The 14,426-nt window shown below is 53.5% G+C and overlaps 3 annotated features.

Annotated features, from left to right (window-relative positions):
- Positions 4,771-5,270: an enhancer, noted in NCBI's record as "H3K4me1 hESC enhancer chr22:39677709-39678208 (GRCh37/hg19 assembly coordinates)". NCBI's record gives its function as "activates a minimal SCP1, AML or CMV promoter by ChIP-STARR-seq in naive H9 embryonic stem cells {active_cell/tissue: H9 hESC(naive)}" and the evidence as "EXISTENCE:reporter gene assay evidence [ECO:0000049][PMID:30033119]".
- Positions 8,345-9,104: an enhancer, noted in NCBI's record as "H3K4me1 hESC enhancer chr22:39673875-39674634 (GRCh37/hg19 assembly coordinates)". NCBI's record gives its function as "activates a minimal SCP1, AML or CMV promoter by ChIP-STARR-seq in primed H9 embryonic stem cells {active_cell/tissue: H9 hESC(primed)}" and the evidence as "EXISTENCE:reporter gene assay evidence [ECO:0000049][PMID:30033119]".
- Positions 9,089-9,263: a silencer, noted in NCBI's record as "fragment chr22:39673716-39673890 (GRCh37/hg19 assembly coordinates)". NCBI's record gives its function as "represses an EF-1alpha promoter that drives an FKBP-Casp9 reporter gene in an ReSE screen in K562 erythroleukemia cells {active_cell/tissue: K562}" and the evidence as "EXISTENCE:reporter gene assay evidence [ECO:0000049][PMID:32094911]".

The following is a 14,426-nucleotide window of genomic DNA, read 5'->3' as shown; positions in this document are numbered from 1 at the left end:
TTAAGAAGGAGAGAAGGTTTGGTGCAGTGGCTCATGCCTGTAATCCTTGCACTTCGGGAGGCCAAGGTGCAAGGATCGCTTGAGCCCAGGAGTTTAAGGCCAGTCTGGGCAACACAGGGAGACCTCGTCTCTATAAAAAATACAAAAGTTAGCCAGGTGTGGTGGCGCATGCCTGTAGTCCCAGCTACTTGGGAGGCCGAGGTGGGAAGATCACTTGAGCTCAGGAGTTCACAGCTGCAGTGAGCCATGGTTGCACCACTGCTATTCAGCCTTGGTGACACAGTGAGACCCTATCTCAAAATAAATAAATAAATAAGAAAAAGAGAAGCAGGGAAACAGACTTTTGGATTTTACAGCATGGGACACTTCCAACCCCAGAATTATAAAACTTCAGGAGAGGGGACCTCAGGAGAACATCTATTCTGGGGTCTCACTTCAGGACCCAGGAGTGACATCTTCCAAGCCCTGTCTGGGTTTCTGTTTCCCTGGAATGGGCTTGGAGAAAGCAGAGGAGATAGGACCCAGGAGCCTGGAACTCTGGGGCTCCAAGGGAGCTCTGGCAGGGGGTGAGTGAAATGCCTTCCCCACCTGGGCACCCAGCTCTTCTACCCAGAGGCTGCCCCTTTCCAGCCGAGGTGCCAGGCCAGCTGGGCCTCTGTAGCTGCACACAGTGGCCCCTCTGTGCTTGGCACACACACACAAAAATGTGAACAGAGCCTGTAATCCCAGCACTTTGGGAGGCCGAGGCAGGTGGATCCCTTGAGACCAGGAGTTCAAGACCAGCCTGGAGAACATGGTTAAACTCCGTCTCTACAAAAAATACGTGAAAAAAGAAATTAGCTGGGTGTGGTGGTGCATGTCTATGGTTCCAGCTACTGGGGAGGCTGAGGTAGGAGGATTGCTTGAGCTGGGGTGGTTGAGGCTGCCATGAGCCAAGATTGTGCCTCTGCCCTCCAGCTTGGGTGACAGAGTGAGACCATCTCAAAAAAAAAGAAAGAAGAAAGAAAGAAGAAGAAAGAAAGAGAGAGAGAGAAAAAAAGAAAGAAAGAAAGAAAAAAGGAAAGAAAAGGAAAAGAAAAGAAAAAAGCCAGGTACGGCAGCTCACGCCTGTAATTACAGCATTTTGGGAGGCCGAGGTGGGCAGATCACAAGGTCAGGAGTTCAAGACCAGCCTGGCCAACATAGTGAAATCCCATCTCTACTAAAAATACAAAAAAAAAAAAAAAAAAAAAAATTAGCCGGGTTTGGTGGTGGACACCTGTAATCCCAGCTACTGGGGAGGCTAAGGCAGGAGAATCACTTGAACCTGGAAGGCAGAGGTTGCAATGAGCCGAGATAGTGCCACTGCACTCCAGCTCGGACAACAGTGTGAGACTGTCTCAAAAAAAAAAAAAAAAAAAAAAAGAAAGAAAGAAAAAAATGTAAAGGAAATGAGCAGGGGTGGGTGGGGTGGTCTATGGTCTGCACTAGGCTGACTTGTGGCCCTGGCTGGAGTTCTGAGGTCTGGAACAGGGCAGGAGGCTCTGCATTAGATACTGGTCGCCTGCCTTGGAGTCCCCTCCATTCTTATTCTGGTGGTTTTAGAACATGCTCTTCCCCCAATTATTTGACACTCCTCTTCTTGAAAGATGGGAGTCTATGTCCTTTTTCCTTGAATCTGGGCTCCGTGGATGCTTGATCAATATGTTGCCAGTGAGGCTGTGTCAGTTTCTGGACCCAGGCCATAAAAAACTGCAACTTCTACTTCCCACCTCTTGGGACTCAGCCACCATGCTGTGAGGAAGCTCAACAGCCCCATGGAAAGGCCGGTGTGGGAAGGAACAGAGGACCCTCTACCCCTGCCAGCTGTCAGCCCCAGTAGAGCCAATGGGACCTCCAGCTCCCACTCAAGTTGCCCCAGCTGATGCCTCATAGAGCAGTGCTGTGCCTTCTTGCGGCATCTGGCTTGACTTGCAGATCTGTGAGAGAAACAAATGATTGCTCTTGTTTTAAGCCACTAAATTTTGGGATCATTTGCAGCATAGCAATGGATAACTGGAACACCCTCCATGACCAACAAAGTCGCCACCAGTGCCTGCAGGCTGGGTTAAGAACACGGGCTTTGGGATCAGACTCACCAGCCATATGTCAAGGCCCGTCTTTGCCTCAAGGGCTTCATCTGCACATGGTGACCGTAGTAGGACTCGCCTCATAAGGTTGTCATGAGGATGAAATGAGATGACACACATGGAGTCTGGTGCCGAGGAAGTGTGTGGTAAATAGGAGCGTGACAAGGGTTTACCGCCATGGTTGTTATTTCCCTAAGCAGAGAAAATTACTCAGTCTAGGCTGGGTTCATTCAAACAGGCATGTCCTTCCCTGCTTGCTCCTTCGAAGACCCCCTCCTCCAGGAAGCCTTCCCTGACCACCCTACACTGGGCCGCCACTCCTCTGTGCACCTCCAGCCCTCTGTGCTACACCTGAAAGAACAAGAGTCCCATTGTGCTCGTTGCCTGTTTACAGCTGCCAGAATGGGACATCCCTGAGGGCATCATTAGCAGAGCCAGCAAGGAATGGAATTCTCTAAAGCTGGCACTCGATGTGTGCACACATAGGCCGGGACCCGGGGCTGCTTATGTTGCTGAGTGACGCTCAGCCAGCTGGTGTCCCCGAAGTGTACACCTGGGTGGGCCTTATATGCAGGCCTCTGTGTATGTTGGCGTGCCTGTGGGAGGTGGGTGTGCACATGTTTGTACACATGTGAATAGCAGTTGGTGTGTCTGCGTAAAGGCAGGTGGAGTGAGCGTGTCTCTGTACACAGATGTAGGCACATGCTCATGTGCACACCACTGCACATTCACGCTCATGTGTATGCTCGTGCAGTTGTAGGAGTGTTCTTGTGCATGGGTGTGTCCACATGTGTGTGCCTTCATACTGGTGCGTGCCCTGTGTGCCAGGCTGGGCTGTATGGTAGGAATGTAGGGTACCAGCTGCTACATCTGGGGCCCACTCGGGAACTAAGAATAGCCCATGCCCAGCCCTGTCCCGCCGGGCAGGGGGCCGCGGGCAAGCTCCACGGGGGCACCCCAGCCAGGCTGTTGGCCTCATCCCTTCTTGGGCCGACGCGCTGCCTGCCCTGCCCTGCCCTGCCCTGCCTGGGGCTCCCATGAGCTCATGCACACCCTGCCCAACCAGGTCAGGGAGGGGGTTGGGAGGTCCAGAGTCGTGCCTGCTAGGCCGAGGCCCTGCCCACGTTCCAGCGGCTGGACACCAGCAAGGCCTGATAAGGTCAAGTGTGGAGTAGGGTCCGCCCCCTCCCTCCGGCCAGGGACAGCCGGGCGGACATGAGTCAGCACAGGGGGCATCAGGCAGCCCGGGCCTGACCACTGGCTGGTGATGGGGCAGGCCTGGGGGTGGGACCGCCTCCCTGGACAGGCCAGGGGCTGGCCAGGAGGAATCACCTGCCGGGTCGGCCAAGCCCTGACCTCATTCTCCACCTTGAGGAACCCCACCTCCACTTCCGCCCAGAAAGCCCCTCTGGAGTCCCCTGGCTGGCTTCCTGCCCTGGCCTGGTCATTGCTGGGCCTCAGGAGGGCTGATGGCCACCCCTGCAGAAGGGCATTTCCAGGCTTAGCTACACGGCCCCAAGGGTTCCATATGCCCCTTCCTCGGGAAGTCCTCCCTGCTTCCCCAGGCTGGATGGAGTGGGGGTGGGGCTCTGAGATCCCAGCTCCCTCTTGGAGCCCCTCTCTCTACAAAGTCAAAGCCTGTTTACTCGTGTCCAGACCTGAGCTTCTTAAGGGCCAGGAAGTGTGTCATTTCCATCTCTGTTTACATCTTGCTCCCTCGCTGGGTCCCCAGCACAGCCCAGGAGGGGTCATTGTTGTCTTCCTTTACAGGGGAGGACTCTGAGGCCTGGCATGGATGGTGACTGGCTCACAGTCCCCAGCCAAGGGGTGGCCAGTGTGGAGGCTGTTCCCGGATGTCCTGCTTTCCCCATCACTGTGCCACTGTGATCCTTCCTCCTGGAGCCCCTGACCTCAGAGGCTCTGATGACCCAGCCCAAGCACCCATGACTGATTTTTCATTCTGTGAGCCTGGTGCGTGTGCAGCTTGGGCTGGGCCTTCCCTGGAGCTCAGCTCCACAGGGCAAGCCAGGCAGGGCCTGACACGCTGATCACAGCTGAGCGTCAGGGTGGAGTCTCCCGCTGTGTCCTTTGCCCCCCTGCAGGGCCCTGCCAAGAGGAGAGGAGAGGGCACCAGCTTGGCATAGGGAGAGCGCGTTGTGAGGGAGGGACCATCAGATGCTCCATTTAACAGATGAGGACACTGAGGCTCAGAGAGGGGATGTGATGTCCCCGAGGTCCCACAGTGAGGAACGGCCTAGGCAGGTCTTAGGAAACACCCCCTCGTGCTCATGGACACGCTCGTGGCACTGTGTGTCATAGTGAAAGAGGAAAAATGGCCCTGGACGCCTGCCAGTACTCTGTGAGCACCCTCCGCACAAAGGGACACGCAAGAGGGGGCTGGATCCGTGCTGACCAGGTGGGGCTCCATACCAATGAAGAAGCACACTTTCCAACACTTCAACACGGTCGGGCACGGGGGCTCACACCTGTCATCCCAGCACTTTGGGAGGATGAGGCAGGCGGATCATCTAAGGTCAGGAGTTTGAGATCAGCCTGGCTAACATAGTGAAAGCCTGTCTCTACTAAAAATACAACAAGTAGCCAGGTGTGGTGGTGCACACCTGTAGTCCCAGCTACTTGGGAGGCTGAGGCAGGAGAATCGCTTGAACCTAGGAGGTGGAGGTTGCAGTAAGCCGAGATCACGCCATCGCACTCCAACCTGGGTGACAAGAGCAAAATTCCATCTCAAAAAAAAAAAAAAGTAGCCAGGCGTGATGGTGCACGCCTGTGGTCCCAGCACTCAGGAAGCTGGGGTGGAAGGATCGCTTGAGCCTGGGAGGTCAAGGCTGCAATGAGCCGTGATTGTGTCACTGCACTCCAGCCTGGGTGACAGAGTGAGACTCAGTTCAAAACAAAACAAATGTACATTCAGAGGAAAGTGTTTTTGAGCCCACACTGTAACTGCGTTAGTTTCCTATCAGTTTCCTATTGCTGCTGTGAGGAATGACCACAAATGTAGCGGTTTAAAATAACAGGGATGTGAGCTCTTACAGCTCTGGAGGTCGGAAGTCTGAAGTGGGTCTTGTGGGCTAAAGTCAAGGTGCGGGCAGGGCCTGTGCCTTCATGGGCCCTCCTTTGGCTTTGCAGCTCCTAGAGGCCGCTCGCATTCCTTGGCCTGCAGTTCCTTCCTCCCCTCAAAGCCAGCAGCACAGCGTCTTCCACTCCCTCTGACCCTGACACTTGCTCTTCCGCCTCCCTCTTGCACATCCAGGGATTCTTGTGATTGTGCTGGGCCCACCCAAATCATCCAGGATGATCTCCTTATTTTATGTTCAAGGTGCTGGGAACACAACACAGTGGGTAACACAACAGACACAGTCCTTGTCTCGTGGGAGACAGACAGTAATTCACATGTAGCCCTGTGACACGTCTGGAAGGGTAGATGCTGGGGAGCAAAGTGAAGCAGAGGAGGGGGATGGAGAGCAGTGGGGAGCCTCATCTGCATAGTATGACTCCTTTCCAATGAGAATGGATTTGCCATATTTGCATATTTCTTTTTCTTTTTTTTTTTTTTTGATATCGCTTTGTCACCCGGGCTGGAGTGCAGTGGTGTGATCTCTGCTCACTGTCTCCTAGGTTCAAGAGATTCTCTTGCCTCAACCTCCTGAGTAGCTGGGATTACAGGCCTGCGCCACCACGCCCAGCTAATTTTCTGTATTTTTATTTTTTATTTATGTATTTATTTTAATTTTTTTTTTCCAAGACGGAATCTTGCTCTGTCACCCAGGCTGAAGTGCAGTGGCACGATCTCGGCTCACTGCAACCTCTGCCTCCCAAGTTCAAGCAATTCTCCTGCCTCAGCCTCCCAAGTAGCTGGGATTACAGGCACCTGCCACCACGCCCAGCTAATTTTTTGTAATTTTAGTAGAGATGGGGTTTCACCATGTTGGCCAGGCTGGTCTCAAACTCCTGACTTCAGGTGATCTGCCCATCTCGGCCTCCCAAAGTGCTGGGATTCAGGTGCGAGCCACCACGCCTGGCCCTATTGGCATATTTCTTCTATAACCCAAAGCAGGTCTAGGTGACTCTGAATAACAGCACAGTTTATCTTCCTGCCCATTGGCTGCGTGACTTTAACCTAATGGTCTAATCTCTCTGGTCTCTTCACAGGAGGAGTCAATGGGGTGCCAAACTCTTCCTGGCGATGCTGTGAGATGCCCAAGGGGACACCTTGTGTTCTCTGGGTATCCTGCCTGCGAATCTTACCTTGGGCAGGAAGTACCGAGGGACTCCCAGGCACAGGCTCCATGGGGCGGGCGGGGGTGTATGTGTAGCCCCCAGCTGCACCGGAGGTTCAGGGGTGGAAATGACTCTGGATGGAGCCCAGATGGTCTTTGGACCTGGGATGGGACCATTCCCAGAAGGAATCCAGCTGCTCCAAGCCCAGCTGGGTAGGCAGGAGTGTGGTGGTGCCATTGGGGCCAGAACCGCCCCACTAGCTCACCAGAGGGAACTGGAGAATGAGCCTGGGGCCTGGGGCCTGGGTTGGGCTGTGACAGATCCCAGGCTGTGGATCCTCAGCTGAGAAACGGGAGGGCCTGGGGAGGAGCAGGGGTGGGCCTAGGACCTGACCCCCAAGCTCCAAACAGGCTTCCATAACTTCTGGTTGTGTGACTCAGTTTCCTCATGTGTAGACAGGGATTGTAACTTTTTCCCATTCTGGGGTGGTTGTGAGGACCAAGTGTACTTGTGCACACAGGGGTGGGTGGGGATTTGCAGGGTGGTTGGCACACGGGGGGTCCCATCCAGGCTTAATTCCCCTCCCCAATTCTCTCCAGCTCCCAGGGAGTTGGCTCTGGGCCCCAGAGACACCTGGAAATGCCCCTTCCTGTCCCAGGCTCAGAATGAATTGAGGGAACAATGAAAAACAAACAAAACAACCATTTACTTGCTGAAGAGCGAATATGTTCACATGTCCAAATCATCAAAATACTCAAAGGATATGCAGTGAGAGAGAAGTCCTCCTCCCACCCCGTTCCCCCACCGTTTCTTGAGTATTTGAGTATATTTTCCCAGAGATGCCCTAGGCGGGTACGCGGGGAGATGCATTTGTATTCTCTTCTCCGCCTTAAACACACCCTGTGAATGGCGGAGTTTTTTCTTGGAGAATGGCAGGCATCAGCACAGAAACAGCTTCCTTGAGCTGCGGTGTATGGGTGGGTGTTCCATTGTTATTTGACGAGGCTGTAAAGGGAAGGTTGTTTTTTTTTCAAAGCAAAGGAATAGCTTCATGGAAGCGTCCTTCCTGGAATCTGGAATTCGGAGACGGGCTTGAGTCTGAGCTGGGCTACTTGCCTCTCGGGGACTGCACGTGTTGCTTCCCCTGAGCCTCAGTGTTCTCATCTGCAAGATGCTGCTTGTGGCTGGGCACGGTGGCCTATGCCTGTAATTTCAGCACTTTGAGCTGTCGATGCACGAGGATCGCTTGAGGGCAGGAGTTCAAGACCAGCCTGGGGCCAGGCGCAGTGGCTCACGCCTGTAATCCTAGCACTTTAGGAGACTGAGGCAGGAGGATCACCTGAGGTCAGGAGTTCGGGAGCAGCCTTGGCAACATGGTAAAACCTTGTCTCTACTAAAAACACAAAAATTAGCTGGCATGGTGGCACGTGCCTGTAATCCCAGCTACTCGGAAGGCTGAGGCAGGAGAATCGCTTGAACCCAGAGGTGGCAGTGAGCCAAGATCACACCATTGTGCTTCAGCCTGGGTGACAGAACGTGACTCCATCTCAAAAAAAAAAAAAAAGCCAGCCTGGGAGACATAGTGAGGCCCCATCTCTACCCCTGACCATCCCCCCCAACACCCAAAAAAACAAACTTAGCTGGCCATGGTGCTGTGTGCCTGTAGTCCCAGCTACTCGGGAAGCTGAGGCAGGAGGATTCCTTGAGCCCAGGGGGTCGGAGCTGCAGTAAGCTATGATCACACCACCATACTCCAGCCTGGGTGACACAGCAAGACCCTGTCTCTACCAAAAATAAAAAAAAGTAAAAGATAAAAATAAAAAAGGCAGTGGTTGTACCCATCCAGGAGATAATGTTGCCCGTGGGTAGCCTGCGGGCTGTGCCCCGTTTGTGGATGTGTTTTGCTCATAAAACTTTTCCAAACTCTGGAGATTTCAAATTATAACCCAGATTTCTGGCTTCTCTTGAAAAATCAAAAGTCTGGCCATTGCAGGCTGGAGCCAAGTAGCCACTGCCCGCTTTGGAAGGGCCAGGGGTGCTCCATTTGGCCTCAGGCCTCACCGCGTCCTGTTGCTCACGGACATCCCCCAACCTGGTAGTCCTCCTCCGCAGAAGGGAGTGCTGGGGTTAAATTCATGCAAACAGAATGGGCAGGGTCCCCAGCGCTCGGCACAGGCCCAGCCTCACTCTCTTGCTGGATACTTGGGGTATCTGGGACTCAGTAGCCACAGCCATGGATGATCCAGTCTTGGAAACCCAAGCCCTGAGCAAGCGGCTCCAGAGTGTCTCCTCCACCAGAAGGGAAGCTGAGATGCCGGCACCGTGTCCGGGAAGAGCTCTGGGCTGCAAGCCAGGCGGTTTCATCCCGGGAGGCGGCGGCCGAGGCTTCTTCCCTAGGATGGAGCCGGAAGCCAGGCTCCAGGCACCTGGAGTTCCCATCTCCGGGTCCCCAGGATGTAGATTCCTGCGCACAGCCCCCCACGCCTTCCTTTTCCCTACCTACCTTTGGCAGCCACATCCTGCCTTTCAGGGGTGGACCAGGACTGAAGGGGAGGCAGGGAGGTGGGTGGGATCCCAGGAGGACCTTGGGGACATCCTCTCTTCAGGGTGGTTGCAAACTCTTCTTGGCCCCAGGGTGCCTTGGAGCACAGTTTGAAAACCACTGATGGAGCCCTTTTGCTAGATGGGAAAACAGAGGCCTGCAGTTGGGGGGGTAGGAGGGTCAGAGGCCTGGAGACCTTAGAGTCCCCCCTCCCCAAGTCTACTACAGAGCCCCGGCATGTGGAATTGAAGCTCACTGAGCCCCCAGCCAGTCTCACCCTGCTGTTGTCTGTCCAGAAGACCAGGGAAGTAGTGGGTCTCCTCCTTCTCCAAAACTTGAATTGCCTCCTCTGCCAAGTGCCCACCTTACAGGGTGGTTGTGAGGAGTCAAAGAGATGAGAGTGCAGATAGCAAGAATAAGATCCACGGTAGCTCCTGCCTCCTGGGCTTGAACTGCAGGCTGTCCAGCCTGGACTTGGACGAGCCCATTTTTTACAGCACTTTCTTGGGAGATAATTTACATACCCTAAAATTTACCCACTTAAAGTATATGAGTCAGTGGTTTTGAGTATATTTACAGAGTTGTACAACCATGACCACAATCTAATTCTAGAACATTTACATCATCCCGCAAAGAAACGCAACACCCATCAGCAGCCACTCCCTGTTCCCCTCCTCCAGCCCCTGGAACGCTCCTCTGCTTTCTGTCTCTAGAGAGTTCTCTGTTCTGGACATTTCGTATAAATGGAATCCTACAATGTGTAGCCTTTTGTGACTGGCTTCTTTCAGTGAGCATCATGTTGTGGCATGTGTCACTCCTCCATTCCTTGTTGTTTGTTGCTAGTTCTTCCACTAGAGCAGCTGGAAAGAACATTCCTTTTCATGGCCAAGTAATATTCCATTGTAAGGACATACCACAATTTGTGTGTCCACTTATCCGTTGATGTACATTTGGGTTGTTTTCACCTTTTGACTATTAAAAATAATATTTCCGTGAGCATTCTTGTACATGCCTTTGTGTGGACGTATGTTTTCATTTCTCCTTTGTAAATATCTAGGAGGAAAATTGCTGGGTCATGTGGCAGCTCCATGTTTAACATTTTGAGGAACTGCCAAACTGGTTTCCAGAGCGGCTGAATCATTTTGCATTCCCACCAGCAACCTGGGAGGACTCCAGTTTCCCCACATCCTCACCAACGCTGGACCCTGTCTTTTTGATCACAGCGATGCTAGTGGGTGTGACATGGTCCCACCACTGAAGGGACAGGTTTCCATTTTCATTTCCGTAATCAGCAGTCATGTTGAGCATCTTTTCATGCACTTATTAGCCATTTGTAGATCTCTTTTGGAGAAATGTCTATGCAAATGACAGCCTGTCATTGAATCCTCACAACCACACGGTTGGAGGAAACTGGAACTATGGTCAGTCACACCGATGATGAGGAAACTGGGGTTCCGAGGAACTCTTGAGAGATAGTGGAGACAGGAGCCCCGTGCTGGGACACTGCGCCTGGGGGGCGGGGTGTGGGTGATGGGGGAAACAAGGAGATATGAGGACCCCCTCAGCACTGCAGGCTGGAAGAACTGAGCCCTGATTCCTATTCCTCTCTGCCTCTGTCTTACTCTGGGACCTTGGGCAAGACACTTCCTACCCTGAGCCTCAGTTTCCCCAGCTAACAATGCCTTCATCCTGCCATGGGAATCAGATTTGGTGCTACATGTGAATGTACTGAAGGCCAGAGCAGGGCCCTGGTGGTTCCAGACCTGGGAATCACTCACCCTCCAGTCGCTGGCCCTCCAGGGCTGGCTGTGGGTGAGGCCTCTGCTCTGGGTCTCAGGCCAGCCAGCACTCTTGGCCACCAAGCACTAAGAGTTCTGGGCCTGCAAGGAAGGCTTGCTCAGGCTGGGGCTGGGCAGACAACACGCAGGCAGTGTCTGGGCTGCTAGTCTGTGGGAAGCAGCACATTTGTCCCTGAGCAAGAGCCTCTTCTGCACTGGCCACCTGCAGCCCCGGCCACCTGCTGCTTCTACCTGGGGCCAGGGTGGGTGCGGGGCATAGAGCTATCAAGGGAGCAGAGGCGGGGGAGGGCTAGGAGGAAACTAGGCTGAGAGCGCCTCCACTGGGGAGAAACTGGGCAGATGGATTCATTCACTCATTCATTCACTCACTCACTCACTCATTCATCCAGCCGTGTGTGCTGGCCTCTCGTGGCCCCCATGCTTTCCTGATGGAAGCGCTGACTGCAATGCAGCCATTCCTCAGGAAACTTGCTGAAGGAGTGGACACCATGAGCGTGGGACCCGTGTTGAGAGTCAAATACCTCCAGCCCCTGCCTTCACCGCATTCTTGGCGGAGGAGGAGGGACAGATGGAGTAACAACGGCAGCGCCTTAGAGTCTCTGCTAGGGACCAGCCACTCCCCCAAGTCCCTTAATCAAATTAAGTCGTTTAATCCACTATGCAACTCTTATGGTAAAACCATTCTTGTTTTTTTGTTTTTTATTTGAGACAGAGTCTTGCTCTGTTGCCCAGACTGGAGTGCAATGGTGCAATCTCGGCTCACTGCAACCTCTGCCTCCAGGGTTCATGCCATTCTCCTACCTCAGCCTCCTGAGTAGCTGGGATTACAGATGCCCACCACCACGCCCTGCTAATTTTTGTATTTTTAGTAGAGACAGAGTTTCACCATATTGGCCAGGTTGGTCTCAAACTCCTGACCTCGTGATCTGCCTGCCTTGGCCTCCCAAAGTGCTGGGATTAGAGGCGTGAGCTACCGTGCCTGGTGATAAAACCATTCTTTTTTTTTTTTTTTTTTTTGAGACGGAGTCTCGCTCTGTTGCCCAAGCTCTGGACTGCAGTGGCGCAAACTCGGCTCACTGCAAGCTCCGCCTCCCGGGTTCACGCCATTCTCCTGCCTCAGCCTCCCAAGTAGCTGGGACTACAGGTGCCTGCCACCACGCCCGGCTAATCTTTTTGTATTTTTAGTAGCGACAGGGTTTCACTGTGTTAGCCAGGATGGGATAAAACCATTCTTATCTCCTTTTCATATATTGGGAAACTGAGGCTCAGAGAGGAGCAGAGACTGGGTCAAGGTGTCACGGTGGGTTAGTTGCAGAGCTGGAGACAGAAACCTGCTGTCTGGTTCCCAGCTCCAGACTCTCCACATGATTCTGCCTCTTTCTCTGCACTCCCCAACCCACCCCTCTGGAGTTTAGACCTAGTGCTTTCCAGCCCCCTGCCCCCTTCTCTTAATATTTGAGCCGTATTTGAGAACAGCAGTCTGGTGTGTTCCCTGCAGCAGCCAGGAGATGTGGGTTCAAGTCCTCCCTCAGCCATCAAAATGCTGTGTGACTTGGGCAAGACCCCCAGCCTCTCTGTTTTCAGCTTCTTCATTGGTCAGCAAGAGGGCTGGACCGGGCGCTTTTGAAGGCAGCTAGGCTGAGGCCATGTCTTAGGGCAGCTCTGGGGAGCATGGGGCAGGTGATGGTGGGCTCCCCGGGGCAGGTTCGGGTGGCACCAGGCTTGCGGAAGGGGCAGTTGCAGCCTGCAGGCCTTTTTCCAGGGGATGCTGACTGGCCCAGCTTATCACCTGCCTGTCTTGGGCCACTCTTCCGAGCGGTTCCTCGGGTTTCAGCCTGGAGTCTGCGATAGCAGGGACTGTGGGAGACCTGGGGGGCAGGTGGGTGGCCCTATTGCTCACAGGGCTCCAGGCACCCCGTCTCCTCCAGGTTATCTCTGCTCTGGGACAGGCTGGGAAAGTGAGAAGCTGTGCTATCTCCTCCACTTCCCTCCGGAGATAGGGCTGCCTCAAAGCCCTCTTGTTCTGCACCCTACAGTCCCCTCACATCCACTGGCCCCAGAGGAAGGGGGGCACAGCCTGTAGTGCTGAGGTGCCATTCCCTCATGGGGTCTGCGGTGGGGAGCAAAGAGTGAGGCTGAGTCATCACTTTTCCAGCCCGCTATGCCCACTGAGTGCCTACTGTGGGCCAGAACAGGGGAGAGCATTTTCCACCCAGCAGGGCTGGTGCTGACCAATCGGGTGGCCTGGGGAGCCCCTGTTGCCACAAGCACTGACCACTAGTTACTGGTTCATGAGGAGGCCTGGGGGCTCTGGAGGGTCCGGGCAGTGCGAGGGGCATTTGGGAGGCCTGAAGCAGAGACTAGTTACCATTGGTTTAGGTGTATTTCAGGATTTCTTTTTTTTTTCTTCTTTTTTTGAGACAGGGTCTAATTCTGTTGTCCAGGCTAGAGTGCAGTGGTGCCATCTTGTCTCACTGCAGCCTCTGTTTCCCTGGTTCCAGCGATTCTCGTGTCTCAGCCTCCTGAGTATCTGGGACTACAGGTGTCCGCCACCATGCCTGGCTAGTTTTGTATTTTTAGTAGAGACGGGGTTTCGCCATGTTGGCCAGGCTGGTCTTGAACTCCTGACCTCAGGTGATCCACTCTCCTCAGCCTCCCAAAGTGCTGGGATTACAGGTGTGAACCACCATGCCTGGTCTGTATTTCAGGATTTCAACAGCAAATCCTGAAATGGCTTCCTGGTGACTCCCACCTTGGGGCAGGGACACCTACGTGCAAATGTAGGTGTGACTATGGGGACTTCATTCACCTATCCGGGCCTTGGTTTCTTGTCTGTAAAGTGGGTTTGAGGGTGGCTTGTTCTGCACAGACTGTTGTTCGGAGGGGCGAGGTCCTCTGGGTAAGCTTCTGCGTGGTGTGCCTCATGCAAGTTAGGGCGGACCCGATGAAATGGAGGTTTGACCATTTTTCACAAGAATGGCTGTTTCCCATGCCCAAGTTAGAGTAAGTGCTAATGCATGTTGGAATTCAGGTGTCTCAGGCCTTGTTCTAGGCACTGGGGACATAGCAGGGATGGAGGCGGGCCTAGCCCTGCCCTTGGGGAGCCCAGATCCAACAGGGACACAGGTGATTGTGGGCGTGAGGTGGCTGGTGGCTTGAAGGAAGGTAGACAGAATAACAGCCCCCTAAAGACACCCACGTCCCAATTCCCAGAATCGGTGACTATGCCATCTCACATGGCAAAAGCAATTCTGCAGATGTGATTCAGGTGCAGGCCTGGATTATCCAGGCAGGCCTGCTGTGATCACAAGGTCTTTCTAAGAGGAAAGCAAACTGAACTGTAACTTAAAAATGGTAAAATAGGCCGGATGTGGTAGTTCATGCCTGTAATCCCAGCACTTTGGGAGGCTGAGGCGGGTGGATTGCTTGAGGTCAGGAGTTCCTGACCAGCCTGGCCAACATGGTGAAACCCCATCTCTACTAAAAATACAAAAATTAGCCAGGCGTAGTGGCAAGCACCTGTAATCCCAGCAACTTGGGAGGCCGAGGCAGGAGGATCGCCTGAATCTGGGAGGTGGACGTTGCAGTGAGCCGAGATCATGCCATTGCACTCCAGCCTGGGCAACAAGAGTGAAACTCCATCTCAAAAAAAAAAAAAAAAAAGGTAAAATAATAAGGGTTACATTACATATACTTTACCATAATTTAACAGGTTAATAATGTAATAAACCAAACCTA

The sequence above is a fragment of the Homo sapiens genome, chromosome 22 (genome assembly GCF_000001405.40).
Source record: "Homo sapiens chromosome 22, GRCh38.p14 Primary Assembly".
Lineage (NCBI taxonomy): Eukaryota > Metazoa > Chordata > Mammalia > Primates > Hominidae > Homo > Homo sapiens.
This window is presented reverse-complemented; position numbering and strand designations above follow the sequence as displayed.